Consider the following 21,603-nt stretch of genomic DNA (forward strand, 5'->3'; position numbering starts at 1 on the left):
CTTTGTGGCCTTCGCTTGTCAGCCTCAGCTACAGTAGAGTAGACTCGCCTCAGGTCCCGTCACACACTGACACTCTATGACACCAGGCGTTTTAAAGGGCAGTAGAATGCGACTGAGTCTCAGATAAGACTCAGCCACCATCCTCCATCTGCTCAGAGCTTCAGTGACTCCTTCTGCACACAAGGTGGCAAAGAAGTGGTGTGAACAGAGAAGAGAAGGGGACAAGATGGAAGTCAGGGGCCAGCCAGCTCTGGGCCCTAGACCGACCTGGGCCTGGGAACTTGAGGGGGGTCTCTGCAGAGCCAACGTTAGGGCTGCCGAACAGAAACGTCAGGGCAGTCATACCCTTGGTGTGGTCTTGGTCGCCGTAGTGGGTAGGGGGTGGGGGTGGGAGTGTTTTGGGGGATTGGGTCCTGCCTGGGCCCCGCGCTTAGGCTTGGCACCAGCAGGTTGCTCTTACGCCTCCCATAGGAAAGAAGGCCCTCTGAGTATGGCCACTTGACGTGAGGTGGATGGAATGTGGCGACATGGCCTGCAGACCCAGGACTTATAAGGCTCTGAATAAGGACACAGGGGAAGACAGCAAGCAGCACACAGCCAGACAGTGGATGTGAACCTAGATCCACACACTCCACAACATGTTTCCCATGCTTCCTGCAAGGAGCTCTGGGGTGGCTCAGCTACCCAGGCAAGGACGATGCCCAGATCCCCTTGCAAGAAGCCCCCATCTAGAGGACACTTGGCCCCAGAGTTTACCAGTGTCACCACAGCCTCACCTAGTAAGGACAAGTCCCAGGTTCAGGTGGGATCTGGTGTTCTGCCTGCCCCTGCTATCCCTCTTGCCCCAAATCCCATGTTATCAGGGCCTGGCTATAAGGCCCCATCCTGGGCTGCACCTTGTAGTTTCATTCCTTTACACAAACCATCAGCATGCAAAGCTCATAGTCCTTTGAGCAACAGGTAGAACAGGTATGGGGTCCCCATTTTACAGATGCAGAAGTCAGTCCAGGGATCAAGTGCCTGGCTGGCCAGTGGCAGAGCTGAGGCTTAAGTCCAAGTTGCCTGAAAAGTTTGGGGCTCTTCCTCATAATGTGCAATGTGTCCTAGACTTCCAATGGTGTGTGTGTGTAGGGGTGGGGGGAATAGAGACTGGGGGGAACTAAGCCAGGGTGAAAAGTTATCTGAAAGGAGGGACAGGGCTGGGCAGGTATAAGAAGGCTTCAGGCCTCATTCTCCAAGCCACTTCCAGCCCCAGGAAGAGAAGCCTTAATGTCGTGGGAACACACCTGGTCAAAGCCTGTTGTGTGCACTTGACCTACACCTCATTTAGGGAACTAGACCAAACAGAGAATGAGCTGTGCTTGCAAACTCTGTGTCAGGGCAGGCTGGCTGAAGCGTGCCTTCCATCAGGATCCAGACAGAGCCAGGGGCCAGGACTTGGCTTTCAGGGGCAAAGTTCACTGGGCACCCCGGCATGGAAGCCTCCCAGGCCCACCCACCTCCTGCAGCCTTCTTGGTGCTGTGTGGCCAGCTAACACAGATCTACTGCCTGCCTGTGTGCCTGGCAAGGGTTGCAGTTGCCGCCACTGCCATACAATACCCTACAGAAGGGACTAGATTCAAGGCATTGGGCTAGAGGACCCCTACACCCCTCACTGCCAGCTCCTAAATCAATACCTCCAACCCTTAAACCACATGATGCTATGCTGGCATGAACACACAGCCCCGAGCCCACCACACCTAGCCCATTACTTGACGGAGGCGAATGAAACCTGACAGGAGAGATGTTTCCTAACATGATGCTCCTGTCAGGAGGGGGTTTCTGTTCAGAGGTAGAAGCTGCTTCTGCAACCTGCATTCTGATTTGCAGCTCCCTGCCACAAACATAGCAGGACCCTCCATCCCAAGCTGTGCCCGGATGTATATGGCCACGACTGTACAGCAAGAACAAGAGGTGGGGCACGGTGGCTCACGCCTGTTATCCCAGCACTTTGAGAGGCTGAGGCGGGCGGATCACGAAGTCAGGAGATCGAGACCATCCTGGCTAACACGGTGAAACCCTGTCTCTACTAAAAAAGTAAAAAAAAATTAGCCGGGCATGGTGGTGGGCGTCTGTAGTCCCAGCTACTCAGGAGGCCGAGGCAGGAGAATGGTGTGAACCCGGGAGGTGGAGCTGGCAATGAGCTGAGACCACGCCACTGCACTCTAGCCTGGGTGACAACAGAGTGAGACTCCGTCTCAAAAAAAAAAAAAAAAGAAGAACTGGCCAGGCACGGTGGCTCACGCCTGTAATCCCAGCACTTTGGGAGGCAGAGGCGGGCGGATCACGAGGTCAGGAGTTCGGGACCAGCCTGGCCAACATGGTGAAACCCCGTCTCTACTAAAAATACAAAAAAATTAGCTGGGCATGGTGGCGTGCGCCTGTAATCCCAGCTACTCAGGAGGCTGAGGCAGAAGAATGACATGAACCCATGAGGCGGAAGTTGCAGTGAGCCGAGATTGCGCCACTGCACTCCAGCCTAGGCGACAGAGCGAGACTCTGTCTCAAAAAAAAAAAAAAAAAAAAAAAAAGCAAAAAACAAAAATTAGCCCGGCGTGTTGGTGTGCACCTGTAGTCCCAGCTACTCGGGAGGCTGAGGCAGGAGAATCCCTTGAACCCAGGAGGTGGAGGCTGTAGTAAGATGAGATCACGCCACTGCACTCCAGCCTGGCGACAGAGCAAGACTCCGTCTCAAAAAAAAAAAAAAAATTAGCCAGGCATGGTGGCATGCACCAGTGGTCTCAGCTACTCAGGAGGCTGAAGCTGGGGGATTGCTTGAGCCCAGGAGCTCGAAGCTACAGTGAGCCGTAATCATGCCACTACACTCCAGCCTGGGCAACAAAACGAGATCCTGTGTCAGAATAAAAAAAAGGGCGGGGGGGGACCAGTCTGGGCAAAAACTGGAAGGTGCAGAGCCTTTTCATCAATAGTTCTTCAAAAATGGGCCAGGCACGGTGGCTCACACCTGTAATCCCAGCGCTCTGGGAGGCCGAGGTGGGCGGATTACGAGGTCAGGAGTTCGAGACCACCCTGGCCAACATGGCGAAACCCTATCTCTACTAAAAATACAAAAAATTAGCCAGATCGCTTCTCTGCCTTTTGGCTAAGATCAAGTGTAAAAAATTAGCTGGGCATGGTGGAAGGCACCTGTAATCCCAGCTACTCAGGAGGCTGAGGCAGGAGAATTGCTTGAACCTGGGAGGCGGAGGTTGCAGTGAGCTAAGACTGAGCCACTGCACTCCAGCCTGGCAACAGAGCGAGACTGTCTCAAAAAAAAAAAAAATGGTCTCAGCTCCTATGCCAGTATCCTCTCCTAACTCCCTGCCCCTACCTGCACTAAAAGATAGTTGAGGAGGGGGAGGTTGGTTAACCACAAAGAAGGGCGAAGTACTCCAGACTTCTGCCATGGCCTGGTCCAAGTCAGGCTCTGTCCGTCCTCCTTGGAGGTTGGAGGTGGCCTTGATAGCTTGTGACAGTCAAGAGCCTCTGCTCAGTTGGCCGTGAGTTGACTGACAGCCAAGGCAGATGCGCCTAGGCAAACGCTCCCACCACACCCAGGCCCTGCTGCACTCCAGAGGCCTCCAACGCTGATACAGCCACCAGTGCACTCTTCAGGAAGGGAGGGCCCAACAATCCTGTCACCTGTCTAGTGTTGGCACGTATCAGAAGTAACCGTACTCTCTCCATCAAAGGGTGGAATATGGGAAGAAGCAGAATACAAGGAGGCTATGCCAGTGCCTGGACAGGCAGTGGACGGGTTCTGGCATATGAAGCCTCATAGGCTGCCCACAGTTCTGACTTAATGGTGGCTTTTTTTTTTTTTTAAGATGGAGTCTCGCTCTGTATCCCAGGCTGGACTGCATGACGCAATCTCAGCTCACTGCAAGCTCTGCCTCCCGGGTTCACGCCATTCTTCTGCCTCAACCTCCCTAGTAGCTGGGACTACAGGCGCCTGCCACCACACCCGGCTAATTTTTTTTTTGTATTTTTAGTAGAGACTGGGTTTCACCGTGTTAGCCAGGATGGTCTCGATCTCCTAACCTCGTGATCCACCTGCCTCAGCCTCCCAAAGTGCTGGGATTACAGGCCTGAGCCACTGTGCCTGGCCTGTTTTTGTTTTTTGAGACCAAGTCTCATTAAGTGGCCTCCGCCTCCCAAGTTTAAGCAATTCTCCTGCCTCGGCCTCCTGAGTAGCTGGGATTACAGGTGCTCACGGCCACACCCAGCTAATTTTTGTATTTTTAGTAGAGATGGGGTTTCACCACATTGCCCAGGGTGGTCTTGAACTCCTGGGCTCAAGTGATCCACCCACTTCAGTCTCCTAAAGTGCTGGAATTACAGGCATAAGCCACCGAGTTTTTCGGTTTTTTACTTTTTTTTTCTCTCTTTTTTTTTGAGACAGGGGCTCTCACTCTATCACCCAGGCTCAAGTGCAGTGGTGGGATACTGGCTCACTGCAGCCTCGACTTCCCGGGCTCAAGCGATCCTCCTACCTCAGCCTCCTGACAGGCTGAGACTACAGGCGTGTGCCAACATGCCCAGCTAGGCAGCATCATTTCTGAAGTGTAGGGGACAGGTTCTGCCCCACTGCCTCATGGTTTGCCAGAGGCGTGTGGATCCTTCTGTGGCAGCCATGGGCGGAAGACAGAGGAAGTGACGTGACACCAGATGTCGCTGCTGCCCATAACCAATGCCAGAGCAGATCCAGAACCCAGCACTGTAGTTCAGTTCTGGGTAATCTTGGACCAGGAGCTCAGTACTCAGGGCAGGCAGGACTCACCCTGCCTCCAGCTCGCAGGATTGTCCTGAGGCCCCGAAGGATAAAAGGGTTCAGAGCATGAGAGCCAAGCAAAGGCTCAGCACCCACCAGCCATGGCTTCCTCTACTTACGGCGCTTGCCAGTCCCACCCTGGACATGGGGAGGAGGAAGCCAGCATGTCCCAGCCTTGAGTGGGATTTTTTTTTCTTTTGAGACAAGGTCTCGCTCTGTCACCCAGGCTGGAGTGCAGTGTGGCACGATCTCACTGCAACCCCTGCCTCCCAGGTTTAAGTCATTCTCCCACCTCAGCCTCCTGAGTAGCTGGGACTACAGGCATGCACCATCACACCCAGCTACTTTTTTGTTTTTGTAAGGACGGGGTTTAATCATGTTGCCCAGGCTGGTCTTGAACTCCCAGGCTCAAGTGATCCTCCTGCCTTGGCCTCCCAAAATGCAGGGGATTACAGGCATGAGCCAACATGCCTGGCTGGCCTCCTTGAGTGGGATTTAGAAACTGGTTCTCTCTGGGGCAGACTAAACAGATTGCCCGTATGTGGAAAAGGAAGGGATAACGAGACACAAAAGAATGTCCCCCAGAATATCAGCCAAATGGCTCTTTAGAGCAAGAATCGTTTCTTTAGTTAAAATGCCCAAAGCAATGGGTAGTGGAGGAGTGTGTGAAAGTAGTCACGCCCAGGTACAGGAAATAAGTAAGTGTGCCATTTGTAGAGAATTTAAAATAAAACTGCTTGGGCGTGGCAACTCACATCTGTAACCCCAGCAGTTTGGGAGGCAAGGCAGGACAATCGTTTGAGGCCACAAGTTCGAGAGCAGCCTGGGCAGCAAAGCAGACACTGTCTCTACAAAAAATTAGCCGAGGCCAGGTGCAGTGACTCAAACCTATAACCCAGCACTTTAGGAGGCCAAGACAGACGGATCACCTAAGGTCAGGAGTTCGAGACCAGCCTGCCAACATGGTGAAACCTCATCTCTACTAAAAATACAAAACTTAGCCAGGTGTGGTAGCGGGTGCCTGTAACCCCAGCTACTCGGGAGGATGAGGCTGAAGAATCACTTGAACCCAAGAGGCAGAGATTGCAGTGAGCCGAGATTGCGCCACTGCACTCTAGCCTGGGCAACAAAGCAAGACTCTGTCTCGAGGAAAAAAAAAAAAATTAGCTGGGCATGGTGCTGGTAGTCCTACCTACTAGGGAGGCTGAGGTGGGAAGATCATTTGAGCCCAGGAGATCGAGGCTGCTGTGAGCTATGATCATGCCACTGCACTCCAGCCTGGGCAACAACAGAGACCCCGTCTATAAAAAAAAAAAAAGGAATTTAAGGCCGGGCGCCGTGGCTCATGTCTGTAATCCCAGCACTTTGGGAGGCCAAGGTGGGTGGATCACCAGGTCAGGAGATTGAGAACATCCTGGCTAACACGATGAAACCCCGTCTCTACTAAAAATACAAAAAAATTAGCCGGGCATGGTGGCGGGCACCTGTAGTCCCAGCTACTTGGGAGGCTGAGGCAGGAGAATGGCGTCAACCCGGGAGGCGGAGCTTGCAGTGAGCAGAGATCGTGCCACTGCACTCCAGCCTGGGCGACAGAGCAAGACTTCGTCTCAAAAAAAAAAAAAAAAAAAAAAAAGAATTTTAAAAATATGCAAGATGTGTAAGGATATAGATTTTTTAAAAAAGAATTTAGGTCAGGTGCAGTGGCTCACATCTGCAATCCCAGCACTTTGGGAGGCCGAGGCCTCCCAACATGGAGAAACCCCATCTCTACTAAAAATACAGAATTAGCTGGGCGTGGTAGCACATGCCTATAATCCCCCTACTTGGGAGGCTGAGGCAGAAGAATTGCTTGAACCCAGGAGGTGGAGGTTGCGGTGAGCCGAGATCGCGCCATTGCACTCCAGCCTGGGCAACAAGAGCGAAACTCCGTCTCAAAAAAAAAAAAAAAAAGAATTTAAAAAATAAAATCCATCCTGGCTAACACGGTGAAACCCCATCTCTACTAAAAAATACAAAAAATTAGCCGGGCGTAGCAGCGGGCGCCTGTAGTCCCAGCTACTCTGGAGGCTGAGGCAGGAGAATGGCGTGAACCCAGGAGGCAGAGCTTGCAGTGAGCTGAGATCGCGCCACTGCACTTCAGCCTGGGCGACAGAGCGAGACTCCATCTCAAAAATAAATAAATAAATAAAAATAAAATAAAACTGGCTTGGTTTGTTTATTATCTTCGTGCAATGGCAACTCTAAATCATATCTGTGATAAAAGGCCCCTCCTGGCAGGGGCTGACAGCTCCCATCACCCATCTTGGGATGCCACCAGCCCAAAGGAAACTAGTCCGGAGTCAGCCTCTGGGCTTCTGGTTGGCATCACCCAAAACTCAGCCATTAGAAACTTTAATTGCAGATACCCGGCTGGGCGCGGTGGCTCACGCCTGTAATCCCAGCACTTTGGGAGGCCGAGGCAGGAGGATCAGGAGGTCAAGAGTTCGAGACCAGCCTGACCAACACAGTGAAACCCCGTCTCTGCTAAAAATATAAAAATTAGCTGGCCGTAGTGGTGCGCGCCTGTAATCCCAGCTACTTGGGAGGCTGAGGCAGGATAATCGCTTGAACCTGGGAGGCAGAGGTTGCAGTGAGCCAAGATCATACCACTGCATTCCAGCCTGGGTGACATGGCGAGACTCCGTCTCAAAAAAAAGAAAAAAAAAAGAAAATTGCAGATACCTTTCTCCCCCTGCCTTCCAGTCTCACCAAAAACCCTAATATAAAACACAATAGCAGTATACTGTGTGGTTAAGAGCAAACTCTGGGTTCAAATCCCAACCTCCCCACTTAATAGCTACATGAAAGTTATTTAACCTCTCTGTGCCTCACTTTCCTCATTTATGAAATGGTGATAATAATGTAAGTACTTCATAATGCTCTTACAAAGATTAAGAGTTAAAATGGTGCAGAACATATAACAATGCCTGGCATAAATACAACATACAGGTTCATTATTATTAGTACAGCCTCTCCCTTAGATTACTTAGGCAGAGGGGACACATCCACAATAACTCCCAGTGAGGAGGGGAACCTGACCTCCTACTGCTATATGCCTGGCAGGGCTTCTAGGTGAGTGCCCAGAAACAGAGAAGCCTCCATTCCCTCATATTCAAAAAAAGCCTGCAGACCAAGATGTCCCAGATGCTTTCAAATGCTATTGATGTTAAAGAAAAGGGAGGTGCCCAAATAGCACACTGGATCCAGGAATTACCTCGCACTCATCTAGAGTGCCTTATCCCCCACCTCCCACACCCCCCTCCCCGTTCCATCCACACAAGTCTAAGCACCTGTTCACCCACATCTCAGGGAGGGCTGACCTCAAGCCACCCAGTGGTCCCAGGGCTCTGGCTGCTTCCTGACACCCCTCTGAGGACACATGATGGGCTCTAGGATACCAGGCCTGCAAGCAGCAGCCCTGTCCCAGCCACACTGGGATGAGGTGGAAGGGCAGGGAAGGGCAAAGCCCCTCAGGTCAAACTGTAGCCCCCTTAGCTGCCATTAACCCCTGCCTTTCTATAGCTTACCATTAAGCTGGCAAAAACTTTTTTAACTCTTAAGAAACTTATATCCTCCCTCAACCCAATAGTATAAATACCACTCTCCCCCTTCCAGGGGTGCCCCCCAGTTAAAAATTACTTTAACAATCTCCAAACTCTTCAAGTTGTATACACTAAATATACACCTTTATATATGCCAATCATACCTCAAAAAAGTGGTTTTTAAAAATTACTATAACTTAGTATCACCTCGTACCGTTTAGTTGTCCCTCGATATCTGAGGCGGATTGGTTCCAGGGTTCCCCCTTGGATATCAACATCTCCAGATGTTCAAGTCTCTTATATAAAATTTGTATATAACCTATGCACAGGCCGGGCACGGTGGCTCACGTCTGTAATCTCAGCACTTTGGGAGGCCGAGCTGGATGGACCACTTGAGGTCAGGAGTTCAAGACCAGCCTGGCCAACATGGTGAAACCCCGTCTCTACTAAAAATACAAAAATTAGCCAGGCATGGTGGCGTGCACCTGCAATCCTGGAGGCTGAGGCAGGAGAATCACTTGAACCTGGGAGGAGGTTGCAGTGAGCCGAGATTGCGCCACTGCACCCCAATCTGGGCAACAGAGACTGTCTCAAAAACAAAACAAGGCTGGGCGCCGTGGCTCAGGCCTGTAATCCCAGCACTTTGGGAGACTGAGGTGGGCAGGTCACCTGAGGACAGGAGTTCAAGACCAGCCTGGCCAACATGGTGAAATCCTGTCTCTACTAAAAAACAAAAATTAGCCAGGTATGGTGGCGGGCACCTGTAATCCCAGCTACTCAGGAGGCTGAGGCAGGAGAATTGCTTGAACCTGGGAGGCAGAGGTTGCAGTGAGCTGAGATTGTGCCACTGCACTCCAGCCTGGGTGACAAGAGTGAAACTCCCCTTCAAACAAATAAAAAAATAACCTATGCACATTTTCTGGATACTTTAACTCATCTCTAGATTATTCACAATACCTAATACAATGTGAATGCTATGTAAATAGTTGTTATATTTATTTGTATTATTTTTTATTATTGTATTTTTTATCTACAACTGGATTCATGGATAGGGAACCCATAGAAATGGAAGGCCAACAGCAACTGTATTATGAAAGCAAGGTCTCCACTTTCAAAATAGAAATCACATTTACCCCTCTTCAGAGACATGGTAATTACCCAGTTATCCCTTGAGAATCACTAAGACAGGACATTTAGGTCTGAAGTTTGGCAGCACTGATACAGCCTGCCCCGGACAGGTTCATGTACTGTATTACCTCATGTCGTCCCCAGCTCCAGTCAAGACTTACCTGCAGGACAGCACAACCTCTAGATTGGGAGGGACATTCAGCTCCTCCCCTTAATTCCTTACTGCCCTCCTTAGCTTTCAAAGGGTATCAAAGCTTCGAACACATCTTCCCAAGTGGCAGAAAAATGCCAATTTTCCCGTAATACCACAGTCATTACTGCCCTAATTCCAAACTCTCATTATGGCTGCACTGCCTGATATTGCTGCAATATAGCAAACTCCAGGTAGTTACCCAAACAAGCCATGTGGTTACACAAACCTACCTCCTCACTTATACATGCGACTCCCTCCTCTTGGAATGCCTTTTCCACCCCCACAGGTCTAACCTTGCTCCTCCTACTCACCCACATCTCAGGGAAGGCTGACCTCTAATCTCTCAGGAGCACCATGGTACCATGTGCTCATATGCCTTTATTTTATCTATCATTGCATTTCACCTACCACCACTTCCTGGCAAGTCCTTCCGACCTCCTAGGCTGAGAATTTTCACTTGTATCCTTAACCCCTGGGTCCAGAAAGAAAACTTAATGCGTATGACATGGATAAAGCCTATAGGTAAGGTAGTCAAGCAGGCAGAGTCAAGGCTATCCAAAGCAGTTCAGGACAAGCAACCTCACTGATAACTCCCAGAACCATGAAAAATACACTCCCTTCGCCAGTGACCCAGCGCCTTTAGGAATTGAGGTCTTACGGCGTGCAGCAGCATTCCTTGGTTTCCTGGGCTTGCTCTCGCTAGTCTCCAAGAGTTGACTGGGAAGAAGCCACCTGTGTCAGCCATGGGAGTAAACCACTGCTAACGCTGATTCTCCAGATGGTTGCTCTTAGGGGCTGCAGAACTGACTGCTTAGGGAGCATCTAAACTACAGGGAGGATTCCAGTTCCAGCCTACACCACCAATCCAAGATGGAGCCACCAGCACAGGGGCTCATGGCCCACTATTCAGAAGACTAGGCCAGGGCTTGGGGAATAACCCTTTCCCTTACCAGACCAGACAGACACTGGGCTCCAGGAGACCCTCAGAACCCTTTGTTCTGGACCTCTGCTAAACGCGAGCCCACCATGCCCTTTTCCAAGTGCGCGGATTTGGAACCACCATAGGGCCGCAGGCCATCTCAACTCCCAAGGAGGAATAGTAGGGATTCCACTTTTTGAGAATCCTGCCCTCTTTCCCAGAAAAGGTACTTAGAAAGGAGTGGCTAAAACCTCAAATGCTTTTTTCAAGACTTAGAATGGCCACATGGGTCACCCTTCTCACCCAACAGCAGTGGGTCTGAGGGTTTGCCCAGTACCAGCCTCTTGGGCAGTGTGAAGTCCCCACTGAAGTAGACCCTTTAGCAGAAGTGGGGTTCTGGGTCCCCATTCAGCTTTATAGGAGACATGCTCTCCCCCAGTTTCAGCCCACAGCAGGGGGCCAAGCAGAGACTCCAAGTACGCTAGCAACCCTGTCACCCTCCCCAACTGTCAAGGGAGATTCTAACAGCCAGGTAGAGTCAGGATGGGGGCAAGATCCCCAAAGCCAAGGGCCTTTTGGCATCAAGGTACAAGGAGGGCAAGGCCTCTGGAGCCCAAACAAATCCACCACACTTAAGTCATTAGTGGACAGATGTCACAGTTGTATATTCTTCCCTTCCCCTTCCGCCAAAAAGTGGAGATCCAAACCTAGATTGTCATCGACTGGGGCTGGCTGAAGGTCTCTGAATAGCCGAGTGGGAGCTGGCGGCGCTGAGCCCAGCCCAGCCGAGGGCCACCGGCGCCATTCTGCACCAACCCCCAGCACAAGGGGAGGAGGCAACACCAGTCCACACCAGGGGCTCTGCGGTTTCTCCCCCAGGCCAAGGGGAAGGGCGCCCAAGGTGGATAACCAGCCCTTGGTTTCCTGGGCGAGAACATGCCAGGGCAGGGGCAGGAAGGCTCTCTCACCCCTAGAATGACGCAGCAGAGGCCAGAGGCCCTGCGAAGCCTGTCCCCTTCTACTCCAGTTCTTGTCTCCGCCAGCCTAGCTCCTCGTCCCTATTCACTGATATCTTTGAGGCTTTTATCCAGCACCCCACCCCGCACACACATCCTCCCTACCATCCATTAACCACCCAGCTGCTGGTGGTTCCACGGAGCCGCCTTACACTCCCTCCCTTTCGCACATGGCCGGTGGACGAGATGATTTCGCCCCTCCTGGCAGGATCCCACCCAGGCCAGCTTTGGGGTCCTGGCTTGGTTGCCAGGACAAACCCAGAGAGAGGAGAAGGACGAACTGAGTGTCTTTAGTCATCTTCCAAACTAATTAAATTGTGGGCTCACCTCTGCCAAAGCCCAGGTTCTGGGGCTGTGAAGAAAGCCCGCCCACCCCCATGACAACAGCTCGCAGGAACCGAGGAGCCGGCCGGCCCAGGCCTCCAAGGTCACGGGGAGGGGGTCAGGGCGGAAAAGGCAGTGGAGTGAGGGTGCCGCCCTCGGGCCGTGCTAATCCCGCTCCGCTCCGTGCCGCCGAGGCGGGGTCCTGGCCACGCAGGAGGTGCGCCTCGGAGGAGGGCGGCGAGCGGCTACGGGGTGGGGAGCAAGGGGCGCGCGGGCGGCAGGCATGGAACGGACGCGGCGCATCTCGCCCACCGCGGGACGCCCGGACGGCGGCCGGCGCGCGCGGCCCGCCTCGAGCCCGAGAGGGCGGGGAGACAATGCCTGTCCGGCGGGGCAGTCCAGGCCGCACGCTCCCGCCCGCGGACACGGGCCGCTCCTACCCGGGCGAGAGGGCAGCGGCGGGAAGGCGCCGGGAGCGATGGCCACCCCGGCCCCGCGAGGCGCGGCAGGCCCCGCTCGCCCTCTCCCGCGCCCGCCTGGCGTGCGCTTCACCCGGCAAGTCCCGGGGCCACAGACCCACCTCCTCCTCCAGGGCGCCGCCGGAGCCCGCGCCGGAGCCGGTGCCGGTGCTGCCGCCGTGCTCGCCGTCCGGCTTCAGGTTGCTCATGGTGCGGGGGAGGGGGCGGCGGGAAGGAACGCGAGGGCGAGCGCGGCGCCGGCCCCGCGGGAAGTGGGAAGGGGCGCGGGGAGCGGTGCGCTCGCGGGTGCGGAGCGGGTGGCGGGGGACCCACGGGGCAGTGAGAGGGGCAGCCTCCGCGTCGGGCCAGGGTCACATCAAGTTTGGCGGGTGCGGAAGGTGGGGAGGGGGTGCGGCGGGGGAGGCAGTGGGAGCCGGAGGGGCCGCCGCCTCCGCCTTTTCACTGCGACCGGCGAGTGCGCCGCGGCGGCGGCGGCGGCGGCAGCGGCGGCGGGGGGCGGGCGCCGGGGGAGGGGGCGGGCGCCGGCGGCGGGGGGCGGGGCCGGAACCGGCCTCAGCTGGGGCCCGGCCAGCCCCCTCCCCCGCCCGCCGCGCGGTCTCCGGGGGAACGCGCAGCCAATCCCCACCGCCCACCGTGGGCTCGCCCCGGCCCCGGCCGCGGGGCGCCGGCCTCCGGCCGGGCCTTTCCCCTCTCTCTCGCCTGGGTCAGCGCTCTCCCTCTCTCCTCTTCCCCCGCGCCCTTCTCCACGGCGAGTTTTTAAACTTTGATGAACTCGCCCGGCGAACTTTCTTAAAGGGGCCGCGCGCTGCGCGCCCCAGCCCGCGGGAGGTGGAGCCCCGTGCCCCGCACCCAGCGCCCCGGTCCCTGGGCGGCCCTGCCCGGGCGGCCTCGCGCTTAGGGCACCCGCAGCGAGGTTTCCGGGCCGTCGACTCCCCTTGTATCTTGATCTAGGGTTTTGGGGTTCCCGACGCACTCATTCTGCCCCTAAATCCAGTCGCGCAGACCTCAGCTCCGGGGGACCGAGTTCTGGGGGTGATGGCCGGGGGGAGGGGGTTGGGAGACACCTGAGCTTTGGCCCGGGCTGGGCGCTGTTTTGCTGAGTGACCTTGAGGAAATCACTTCCCCTCTCTGGCCTCAGGCTCCCAGCCCAGAGGGTGGGACTTAGGATCTCAAACTCCCTTCCCACTCCCAGTCACTATCTGAATAGGACTTAGGTGGGGATTCGAGTGTTGGGACCCCAATGGTCATTAGCGAGGGCTGCCTCGAATGACCAAGAAGGTTCTGTTGCCCACCTTGCCCTCAACACGCCTGGCTTTCGGGTCTTCTCGCTCCTCCCCCGACCTCAGTGCCCCTCACACCTTTCCCTGCCTCCTATTCTGAGCCCGAAGGCTGGGGACGGATGTAATAGCCTAGAGGCTGGGGGAGGTGGGGGAGGTCGTCGTGACTCCCCCCGCACCCCCGCGCAGGTCAGTAGGGCGCGGCCTCTGGGTCGGTTTTCTCTTCTATTTGAAAACCCAGCCGATGGGGGCCCGCCCTGCTGCCACAGTAGAAACCCGCACCCACCTCGGGGAGCGCTGGAAGCGCTGCAGCCTGAATCCGGCAGAGCCGCGGGAGAACTGGGTCCCTCCTCAGTGCCCCTTCTCCTGGACGGGGCGGAGGTTGCGGTGACCCGAGATCTTGCCATTGCACTCCAGCCAGGGCAACAAGAGCGAAACTCCGTCTCAAAAAAAGAAAAGAAAAAAGAAAAGCTGGATTTGCAGTCACGGACTGGTTAGGATCCCAGACCGTGGACAAGTGCCTGAGCCCCCAGAACCTCTGTGTGTCGACCTCCTGAATTAGGTAGGACTAGCACCACAGGATCACTGTGCTGTGGCTTAGTCTTCCCAGTAAATTATAATCTCCATCCTGACCTGCCATCTCACAGATAAATTGAGGCCTAGAGATGGGCAATGTCTTTCCAATGATATACTCATTCCTTTAGTAAATAATTATTGAGCACCTACTGTGGGCTGGGGACCATTTTCTGCTGGTGGCAAGGCCAAGAGCACCCTGGTTTCCCATCAGCCCTGTTGCCAACACTTGGCTCAGGCCCTATGAAGAGGGAGCTGCTGCCTGTAGGAGCCAGACCTTTACCCAGAGTTTTTAAGATGCCTCCAGCCTCAGGCATCTCCAGATAGAACCAACCTTGGGAACCCTCAGATACCCCTACCATCCTCCACAGGCCTCAGTCCAATCTGGCTGTGGGCTTGATCACCATCCCCTCCCCTAGAATAGGTCTTCCTATCAGGTTTGTCTCTAACTTTGGCCCAGGAATACTCTTCCTCTTCCTCTTCCTCCCCCGCTCCCCCTAATCAATCCAAAATCTTCCCTTCCCTCAAGATCCTGCCTTTCCCATGCTTTTTCCAGGAGAAGGAGCCTGGCCAGATTTCTGAACTCAGCCATTATATGGTTAATTTGAATTTTTCAAAGAAGAGCCTCTCATCTTGTAATTCTGGTCACCCTTCTTCTCCATTCTGGTCTCTGTTTTCTCCATAGATGGGAGAGCTAAGGCCCAAAAAGGTGACAAATGACACAGGGGCCACAACTGACCCCCATCACTACATTTCTTTTCTTTTTTCATTTTTTTTTTTTTTGTTTTGGGGGCTTTTTTGAGATGCAGTCTTGCTCTGTTGCCAGACTGGAGTGCAGTGATGCGATCTCGGCTCACTGCAACCTCCACCTCCCAGTTTCAAGCTATTCTGCCTCAGCCTCCTGAGTAGCTGGGACTACAGGAACGCACAACCACGCCCAGCTAACTTTTGTATTTTTAGTAGAGACGGTTTCCCCATGTTGGTGAGGATGATCTTGATCTCTTGACCTTGTAATCTGCCCCCATCAGCCTCCCAAAGTGCTGAGATTACAGGCGTGAGCCACCGCGCCCGGCCTTCTTTTCTTTTTTTAGAAAAAAGATCTTGCTCTGTCACCCAAGCTGGAGTGCAGTGGCACAATCACAGCTCACTCCAGCCTTGAACTCCTGGGCTCAAGTGATCCTTCTACCTCAGCCTCCCAGGTAGCTGTGATTACAGGTGCAACACCACGCCCAGCTAATTTTTTTTTTTTTTTTTTAAGAGACTGGCCTCTCATTATGTTGTCCCAAGCTGGTGTTGAACTCCTGGGCTCAAGTGATCCTCCCACCTTGGCCTCCCAAAGTGCTGGTATTATAGGCGTGAGCCACCACACCCAGCCTGTATTTCTTCTTAAGTTCTTCATAATTTGTAGTAAATGCTTACCCCTTATTAGACTGCCATTACTTATTTAACCTGTCTCTTGTTAGATATTTGTATTATTTCCAGTTTATTTTCTCTTTTGCCTTCATAGGCAAACTTTATATGAGGATTCTTTTTTTTTTCTTTTTCTTTGAGACGGAGTCTCACTATGTCACCAGGCTTGAGTGCAGTGCATCCTCCATCTCCCAGGTTCGAGCAGTTCTCGTGCCTCAGCCTCCTGAGTAGCTGGGATTACAGGTGCCTGCCACCACACTCGCTGTCACACCTGGCTAATTTTTGTATTTTTAGTAGGGACAAGGTTTCACCGTGTTGGCCAGGCTGGTCTTGAACTCCTGGCCTCAAGTAATCTGCTCACCTTGGCCTCTCAAAGTGCTGAGATTACAGGCATGAGCCCGCCCTCTTATATGAGCATTCTTAATGCCTCAGAAAGTTTCCTGTATGTGTGACCAGCCCTTAAGCACTTTGGAGGCAACAACTGTCTTTTCCCTCTCTGTGCACCCCTATGGCCCCTGAAATGGCAGAATCTCCAATCTCACATGGATTTGGAGATCATATAAACACAAAGCTCCCACCCAGCCCGCACCTTCATGAGTAGTCAGGCGTACCCATTGGTGCTGACCAGAAGCTGATGTGAAAGAGGCTAGAGAGAGGAGTTTGGGGTGTACAACTCTTTCAGACATCTGAAGGGTAGGAACTTATATCTCTGTCTCCCCAGCTATGACCTAGTAGTGTAGCCTCTAGTAATCTCTTCAGTGCCCCAGGCCTCCCCCACTGTCATGCTCCATATCACCTCTGAGCTTCTCGAATTTCTATTCCTTTTGTCTGGAATCCTCCCATCCTCACTCTCCACCCCCAGCTTCCAGACCTTTCCCAGTACCCATTCTCTCTCCCCTGTGCTCTCAGAGTGCCTTCTCTGTGTCGTGTTGAACCTGGGAATACCTTGTTTTGAAGTCTCACCTACCACATGGGAAGCTTTCTGACTCCAAGGAGTGGCTGTAAACCCTGCTGAGTGAGTAGAACTCCTTAACCTCTGCAGCCCCCTGGCCTCCAGCAAGGAGCAGATGATGGTGGGCATTTTCAGTAGTAGGTGTTTAATAAACCTTTGCTGAACCAATACTGGGCTATTCCTGGAGCTTCTGGGCTATCTGAAGCCAATGGCCCTTTCTCTTTGATGTACTGTACATACATCATCCTTCAATATTTCATCCTTAGGGTAGGGAAAAGAGATGGCCTCACTCCTGGGAAACACTGCCCTGGAACTCAACTCCTGAGAGTGTGCCTGGCTACTTCAGGGCAGGCCCCCATTCTGACCCCAACTTTCCCACCACCAGGAAAGCCTAGGCAATAAGAAGGCAGATAGAAGCTGGGCTTGGTGGTGTGCGCCTATAGTCCCTGCCACTTTGGAGGCTGAGCTGGGAGGATTAATTGAGCCCATCAAGTCTAGATGGGGCAACATAGCAAGATCCCCTCTTTATTTAAAAGAAAAAGAAGAAAGGCAGGTAGAGAGGATGACCTTGAAGCTTAAAGGCTGAGATGTGTCTGAGTTATATTTTCTTTTTCTTTATTTTTTTGGGGGGAAGTCAGGGTCTTGCCCTGTCACCCAGGCTGGAATGTAGTAGCACAGTCTTGGCTCATTGCAACCTTCACCTCCTGGGTTCAAGCGATTCTCCCACCTCAGCCTCCCAAGTAGGTGGGAATACAGGATCCCCCCACCAGGCCCAGCTAACTTTCCCTAGCAGGGTTTCACCATGTTGGCCAGGCTGGTTTCGAACTCCTAACCTCAAGTGATCCACCTGCCTCAGCCTCCCAAAGTGCTAAGATTACAGGCGTTAGCCACCGTGCCTGGCCATACTTTTTGTATTTTAGTAGAGATGGGTTTTGCCACGTTGCCCAGGCTGGTCTCAAACTCCTGGCCTCAAGTGATCCACCCACCTTGGCCTCCCAAAGTGCTGAGATTATAGGCATGAGCCACCACACCCAGCCATCTGAGGTATATTTTCTTGGTGCTCATAGGTTTTTGTTTATTTATTTTGAGACAGAGTCTCACTCTGTTGTCTAGGCTGGAATGCAATGGTGTGATCTCAGCTCACCACAACCTCCATCTCCTGGGTTCAATCAATTCTCCTGTCTTAGCCTCCTGAGTAGCTGGGATTACGGGTGCGTGCCACCATGCCCAGCTAATTTTTGTATTTTTAGTAGAGATGGGGTTTTACCATGTTGGCCAGGCTGGTCTCGAACTCCTGAGCTCAAGTGATCCGCCTGCCTTAGCCTCTCAAAGTGCTGAGATTATAGGTGTGAGCCACCACGCCCGCCCATTGTTTATAGGTTTAAGCTCCACTTAAGTGCAAGAAGTCTCTGGAGGGAAAGGGGACAGGCTACTGCCCCAAGCAGTTAATCTTTCTATTGTTCCTGCTATCCCTAGTTATAGGATTAAGGGACCTTCACGAGCCACTGGCAGATGGCATGGATGGTGGGAAAAGCATGAAATAGCCCTGTGATAGAATTCTGATTCTGTAACCTTGGGCAAGTTGCCAGCTAGTATCAGTCAGTTCATCTGTAAAATCGGAATACTAGTACACAATTGCAAGAATGTGTTAAGTAAGATAAGAGCTCATGGTAAGCTCTTGGAGGTTGTGATTATTGCCCTGGGTCCACTGCTAGTTTGCAGGTCAAGGTCACAGACTGGGTAATTTCTTTTTTTTGAGAAGGAGTCTCACTCTGTCACCCAGGCTAGAGTGCAATGGTGCGATCTCGGCTCACTGCAACCTCTGCCTCCCAGGTTCAAGTGATTCTCCCGCCTCAGCCTTCCCAGTAGCTGGGACTACAGGCACCCATCATCATGCCTGGTTAATTTTTGTATTTTTGTAGAGACAGGGTTTCACCATGTTGGCCAGGCTGGTCTCAAACTCCTGACCGCAGGTGATCCGCCCACCATGGCCTCCCAAAGTACTGGGATGACAGGCATGAGCCACCAAGCCCAGGCAACTGGTTAATTTCAGCCCCAAATCCCTGAGCTCTCCCTTTCTCTCCTTGCCTTCCTCTGGGCCACATTGTGAACCTGGATCCCAGGTTCCAATCTAAGACAAACAGTATTTCCAAAGTAGCTGTGCCAGAAGACCTGGATCTGCGTCCAGGTCACCACGGCAACCCGTGTGACCATAGGCAGATAGTTTAATCTCTCTAAGGCTTTGTTTTCTCAAGGTAAAACTAGAGAACTAGCGACACCTTTCAGGCAGGCTTTCATGAGTGTTCCCTAGGCTTCTGTAAGAATTAAATGAGATCCTGATGCTGAAACTTCTTTGACGTCCTCAAAGCCCCAAGACAACCGGAGGGGCGATTGTAAAGTCAGCAAAGGAACAACACAAGAACTTCACTTCAGATCCAGCCTTCCTGAGAGGTGGTGTCTCCTCCCTGCACACCATCTCCCAAAGATGTTATTTCTCCTGTCCCCACCACATAGCTGAAAATTAGCAGGGGACCATCTGAGGACAGGGATAGCGTCTCTTCACCTTTGAATCAAATCTTGGAAGCTCAGTTCAGGTCCTGGCAGAGGGGTTTCAGTAATGAATATTGAATGATTGAAAGGCTAGGGTTACCAAGGAAATATCTCTGACAGCGTTTTTTTTTGTTTTGCTTTGTTTTGTTTTGTTTTGTTTTGTTTTGAGATGGAGTCTTGCTTTGTTGCCCAGGCTGGAGTGCAGTGGTGCGAGCTCGGCCCACTGCAACCTCCTTCTCCTGGGTTCAAGCAATTCTCTTGTCTCAGCCTCCAGAGTAGCTGGTATTACAGGCACTCGCCACCATGCCCGGCTAATTTTTGTATTTTTAGTAGAGACGGGGTTTCACCATGCTGGTCAGGTTGGTCTCAAACTCCTGACCTTGTGATCCGCCCGCCTCGACCTCCCAAAGTGCTGGGATTACAGGCATGAGCCACCATGCCCTACAGTATTTTTACATTAACATGTCAATGGCTGCTTTTCCTCTCTTTGAAGATGGGAGGGAGAATGAGATGCCAGGAACCTGAATGGGGAGAGGACCCAGGATTAAAAAACAAAGAGAAACCCCAAAGGGATGTCTGGCAGGCCAAAGGTTTCTATCTGAACCCTGAGCTCCCTACTCACACCTCCCTCTCAGCACCCAGGGCCTATGAAACCACAGGGCCCACGCCCTGCTTCACTGCCAGTTCCTATGAAACCACAGCCTTTGCTGTTGGGGAAACTGAGGTTCAGCGGCCAAAATCAACTAGCTTGAAGTTACACAGCAAAGTACTGAGTTCACTTAATACTTTCTGTTTAATTTCAAAAGCAGGTAGCTTAGAAGCTTTCCTTCTAAGAAAAAAAAAAAATCAAACCTAATCAAATAGATTTTCATATACACCCCTCCAAATGATCTTTTATCCTCTAGAAAGTCTTTGTGTGTGTGTGTGTGTGCATGCGTGTGCATTTTTTAAAATGAATTTTAAGTTCTGGCAACAATTTAATGACATTTGCTAAACTTTTACTGGTTTTGAGTCCTTCCCAGGGAACCAAAGGTCACTGAAAGCTTCTCTGGCCTGCTTCCCTGCCTGAGTCTCTGTCCTCCCAGAGCCTGGGAGAGGGCCTTCTGGGCCCGACCAACTGCGGAATTGCCCAGCATGCCCGGGAGGCTGGCTCTACCGGGCTACTTTTCTAAGGGACTTAAAGTAGGAATTGTTACACTTGACTAGAGTCCAGTGGGGCAACTGACAGTCTCAGGGACAGGGGCTCCACATGGAATGAGGTGGGATAGGGTGAGAAGGGAAGATGAGCTATCTCTATCCTCACCACTGAAGGTGGCAATGTGAGCCTATGCCCTCCTATACTGCCTTTTTTACCATCCAGAAGAGTCTGTTGCCCATGAGGGGAAGGGTGCACTCATCCTCTCTAAGGCCTTAGAAATTTAAGGAGGAAGTAGGGGGAGAGGGCAATGCCTAACCCAAAGGAATACTTCCCAGTGGTGTGTTAGGGCACCACAGGTCATAGAATCTATGCAGAAGCTGCTTAGGACCAGGCACGGTGGCTCACACCTGTAATCCTAGCACTTAGGGAGGCTAAGGCAGGAGGATCCCTCGAGGCTAAAAGATCCAGACCAACCTGGGCAACGTAGCAAAACCCTATCTCTATAAGGAAAAAAAAACAACTAGGCCAGGCACAGGGACTCACGCCTGTAATCCCAGTACTTTGGGAGGCTGAGGCAGGCGGATCATGAGGTCAGGAGATCGAGACTATCCTGTCCAACATGGTAAAATCCCGTCTCTACTAAAAATACAAAAATTAGCTGGGTGTGGTGGTGCGCGCCTGTAATCCCAGCTACTCGGGAAGCTGAGGCATGAGAATCGCTTGAACCAGGAGGCAGAGGTTGCAGTGAGCTGAGATCGCACCACTGCACTCCAGCCTGGCGACAGAGCAAGACAACGTCTCAAAAAAACAAAGACAAAAAACTAGCTGGGCATGGTGGTGTGTGCCTGTGGTCTCAGCTACTCAGGAGGCTGAGGTAGAAGAATTGCTTGAGTCCTGGAAGTGGAGGCTATAGAGAGCTGTGATAGTACCACTGCACTTCAGCCTGTGCAACGGAAAAGGTCTCTAGAGGTCAGCCAAGCCAATGGAGCCCACACTTGGCTGCAGTCCAGAATTGCCTTTTGAAAAAGACAGATTTCAGGGCCAGGCATGGTAGTTCACACCTGTAATCCTAGCACTTTGGGAGGCTGAGGCAGGCAGATCGCATGAGTTCAGGAGTTTGAGACCAGCCTGGGCAACATAGTGAAACCCCATCTCTACAAAATATACAAAAAAATTAGCCAAGCTTGGTAACTTGCACCTGTAGTCCTAGCTACTCAGAAGGCTGAGTTAGGAGGATCACCTAAGCCTGGGA

At 52.5% G+C, this 21,603-nt stretch overlaps 1 protein-coding gene across 4 annotated transcripts in view, besides 5 other annotated features; it reads right to left on the minus strand.

The window, feature by feature from the left end:
* Positions 1 to 12,909, minus strand: part of RBPMS2 (RNA binding protein, mRNA processing factor 2) — a 35,699-nt gene extending 22,790 nt beyond the window's left edge. For 2 of the 4 annotated variants that reach the window (NR_138350.2, NM_194272.3), the window contains exon 1: positions 12,553 to 12,909. Coding sequence is in view for 2 of the 4 variants with exons in the window: in NM_194272.3 (NP_919248.1) it covers positions 12,553 to 12,639 (87 nt within the window). In the remaining 2 variants the exon portion in view is untranslated. Of the gene's footprint in view, positions 1 to 11,753; positions 11,772 to 11,975; positions 12,064 to 12,552 lie in introns of those variants that run through there. The other 2 variants (NR_138363.2, XM_047432446.1) reach the window with 2 other exon arrangements.
* Positions 1,063 to 1,948: an enhancer, noted in NCBI's record as "H3K27ac-H3K4me1 hESC enhancer chr15:65055942-65056827 (GRCh37/hg19 assembly coordinates)". NCBI's record gives its function as "activates a minimal SCP1, AML or CMV promoter by ChIP-STARR-seq in naive and primed H9 embryonic stem cells {active_cell/tissue: H9 hESC(naive and primed)}" and the evidence as "EXISTENCE:reporter gene assay evidence [ECO:0000049][PMID:30033119]".
* Positions 8,460 to 8,961: an enhancer, noted in NCBI's record as "H3K4me1 hESC enhancer chr15:65063339-65063840 (GRCh37/hg19 assembly coordinates)". NCBI's record gives its function as "activates a minimal SCP1, AML or CMV promoter by ChIP-STARR-seq in primed H9 embryonic stem cells {active_cell/tissue: H9 hESC(primed)}" and the evidence as "EXISTENCE:reporter gene assay evidence [ECO:0000049][PMID:30033119]".
* Positions 12,770 to 13,616: an enhancer, noted in NCBI's record as "H3K27ac-H3K4me1 hESC enhancer chr15:65067649-65068495 (GRCh37/hg19 assembly coordinates)". NCBI's record gives its function as "activates a minimal SCP1, AML or CMV promoter by ChIP-STARR-seq in naive H9 embryonic stem cells {active_cell/tissue: H9 hESC(naive)}" and the evidence as "EXISTENCE:reporter gene assay evidence [ECO:0000049][PMID:30033119]".
* Positions 13,085 to 13,334: a silencer, noted in NCBI's record as "silent region_6538". NCBI's record gives its function as "represses an Ori minimal core promoter by ATAC-STARR-seq in GM12878 lymphoblastoid cells {active_cell/tissue: GM12878}" and the evidence as "EXISTENCE:reporter gene assay evidence [ECO:0000049][PMID:35858748]".
* Positions 13,617 to 14,462: an enhancer, noted in NCBI's record as "H3K27ac-H3K4me1 hESC enhancer chr15:65068496-65069341 (GRCh37/hg19 assembly coordinates)". NCBI's record gives its function as "activates a minimal SCP1, AML or CMV promoter by ChIP-STARR-seq in naive H9 embryonic stem cells {active_cell/tissue: H9 hESC(naive)}" and the evidence as "EXISTENCE:reporter gene assay evidence [ECO:0000049][PMID:30033119]".

This window comes from Homo sapiens, chromosome 15 (genome assembly GCF_000001405.40).
Source record: "Homo sapiens chromosome 15, GRCh38.p14 Primary Assembly".
NCBI classification, from domain to species: domain Eukaryota; kingdom Metazoa; phylum Chordata; class Mammalia; order Primates; family Hominidae; genus Homo; species Homo sapiens.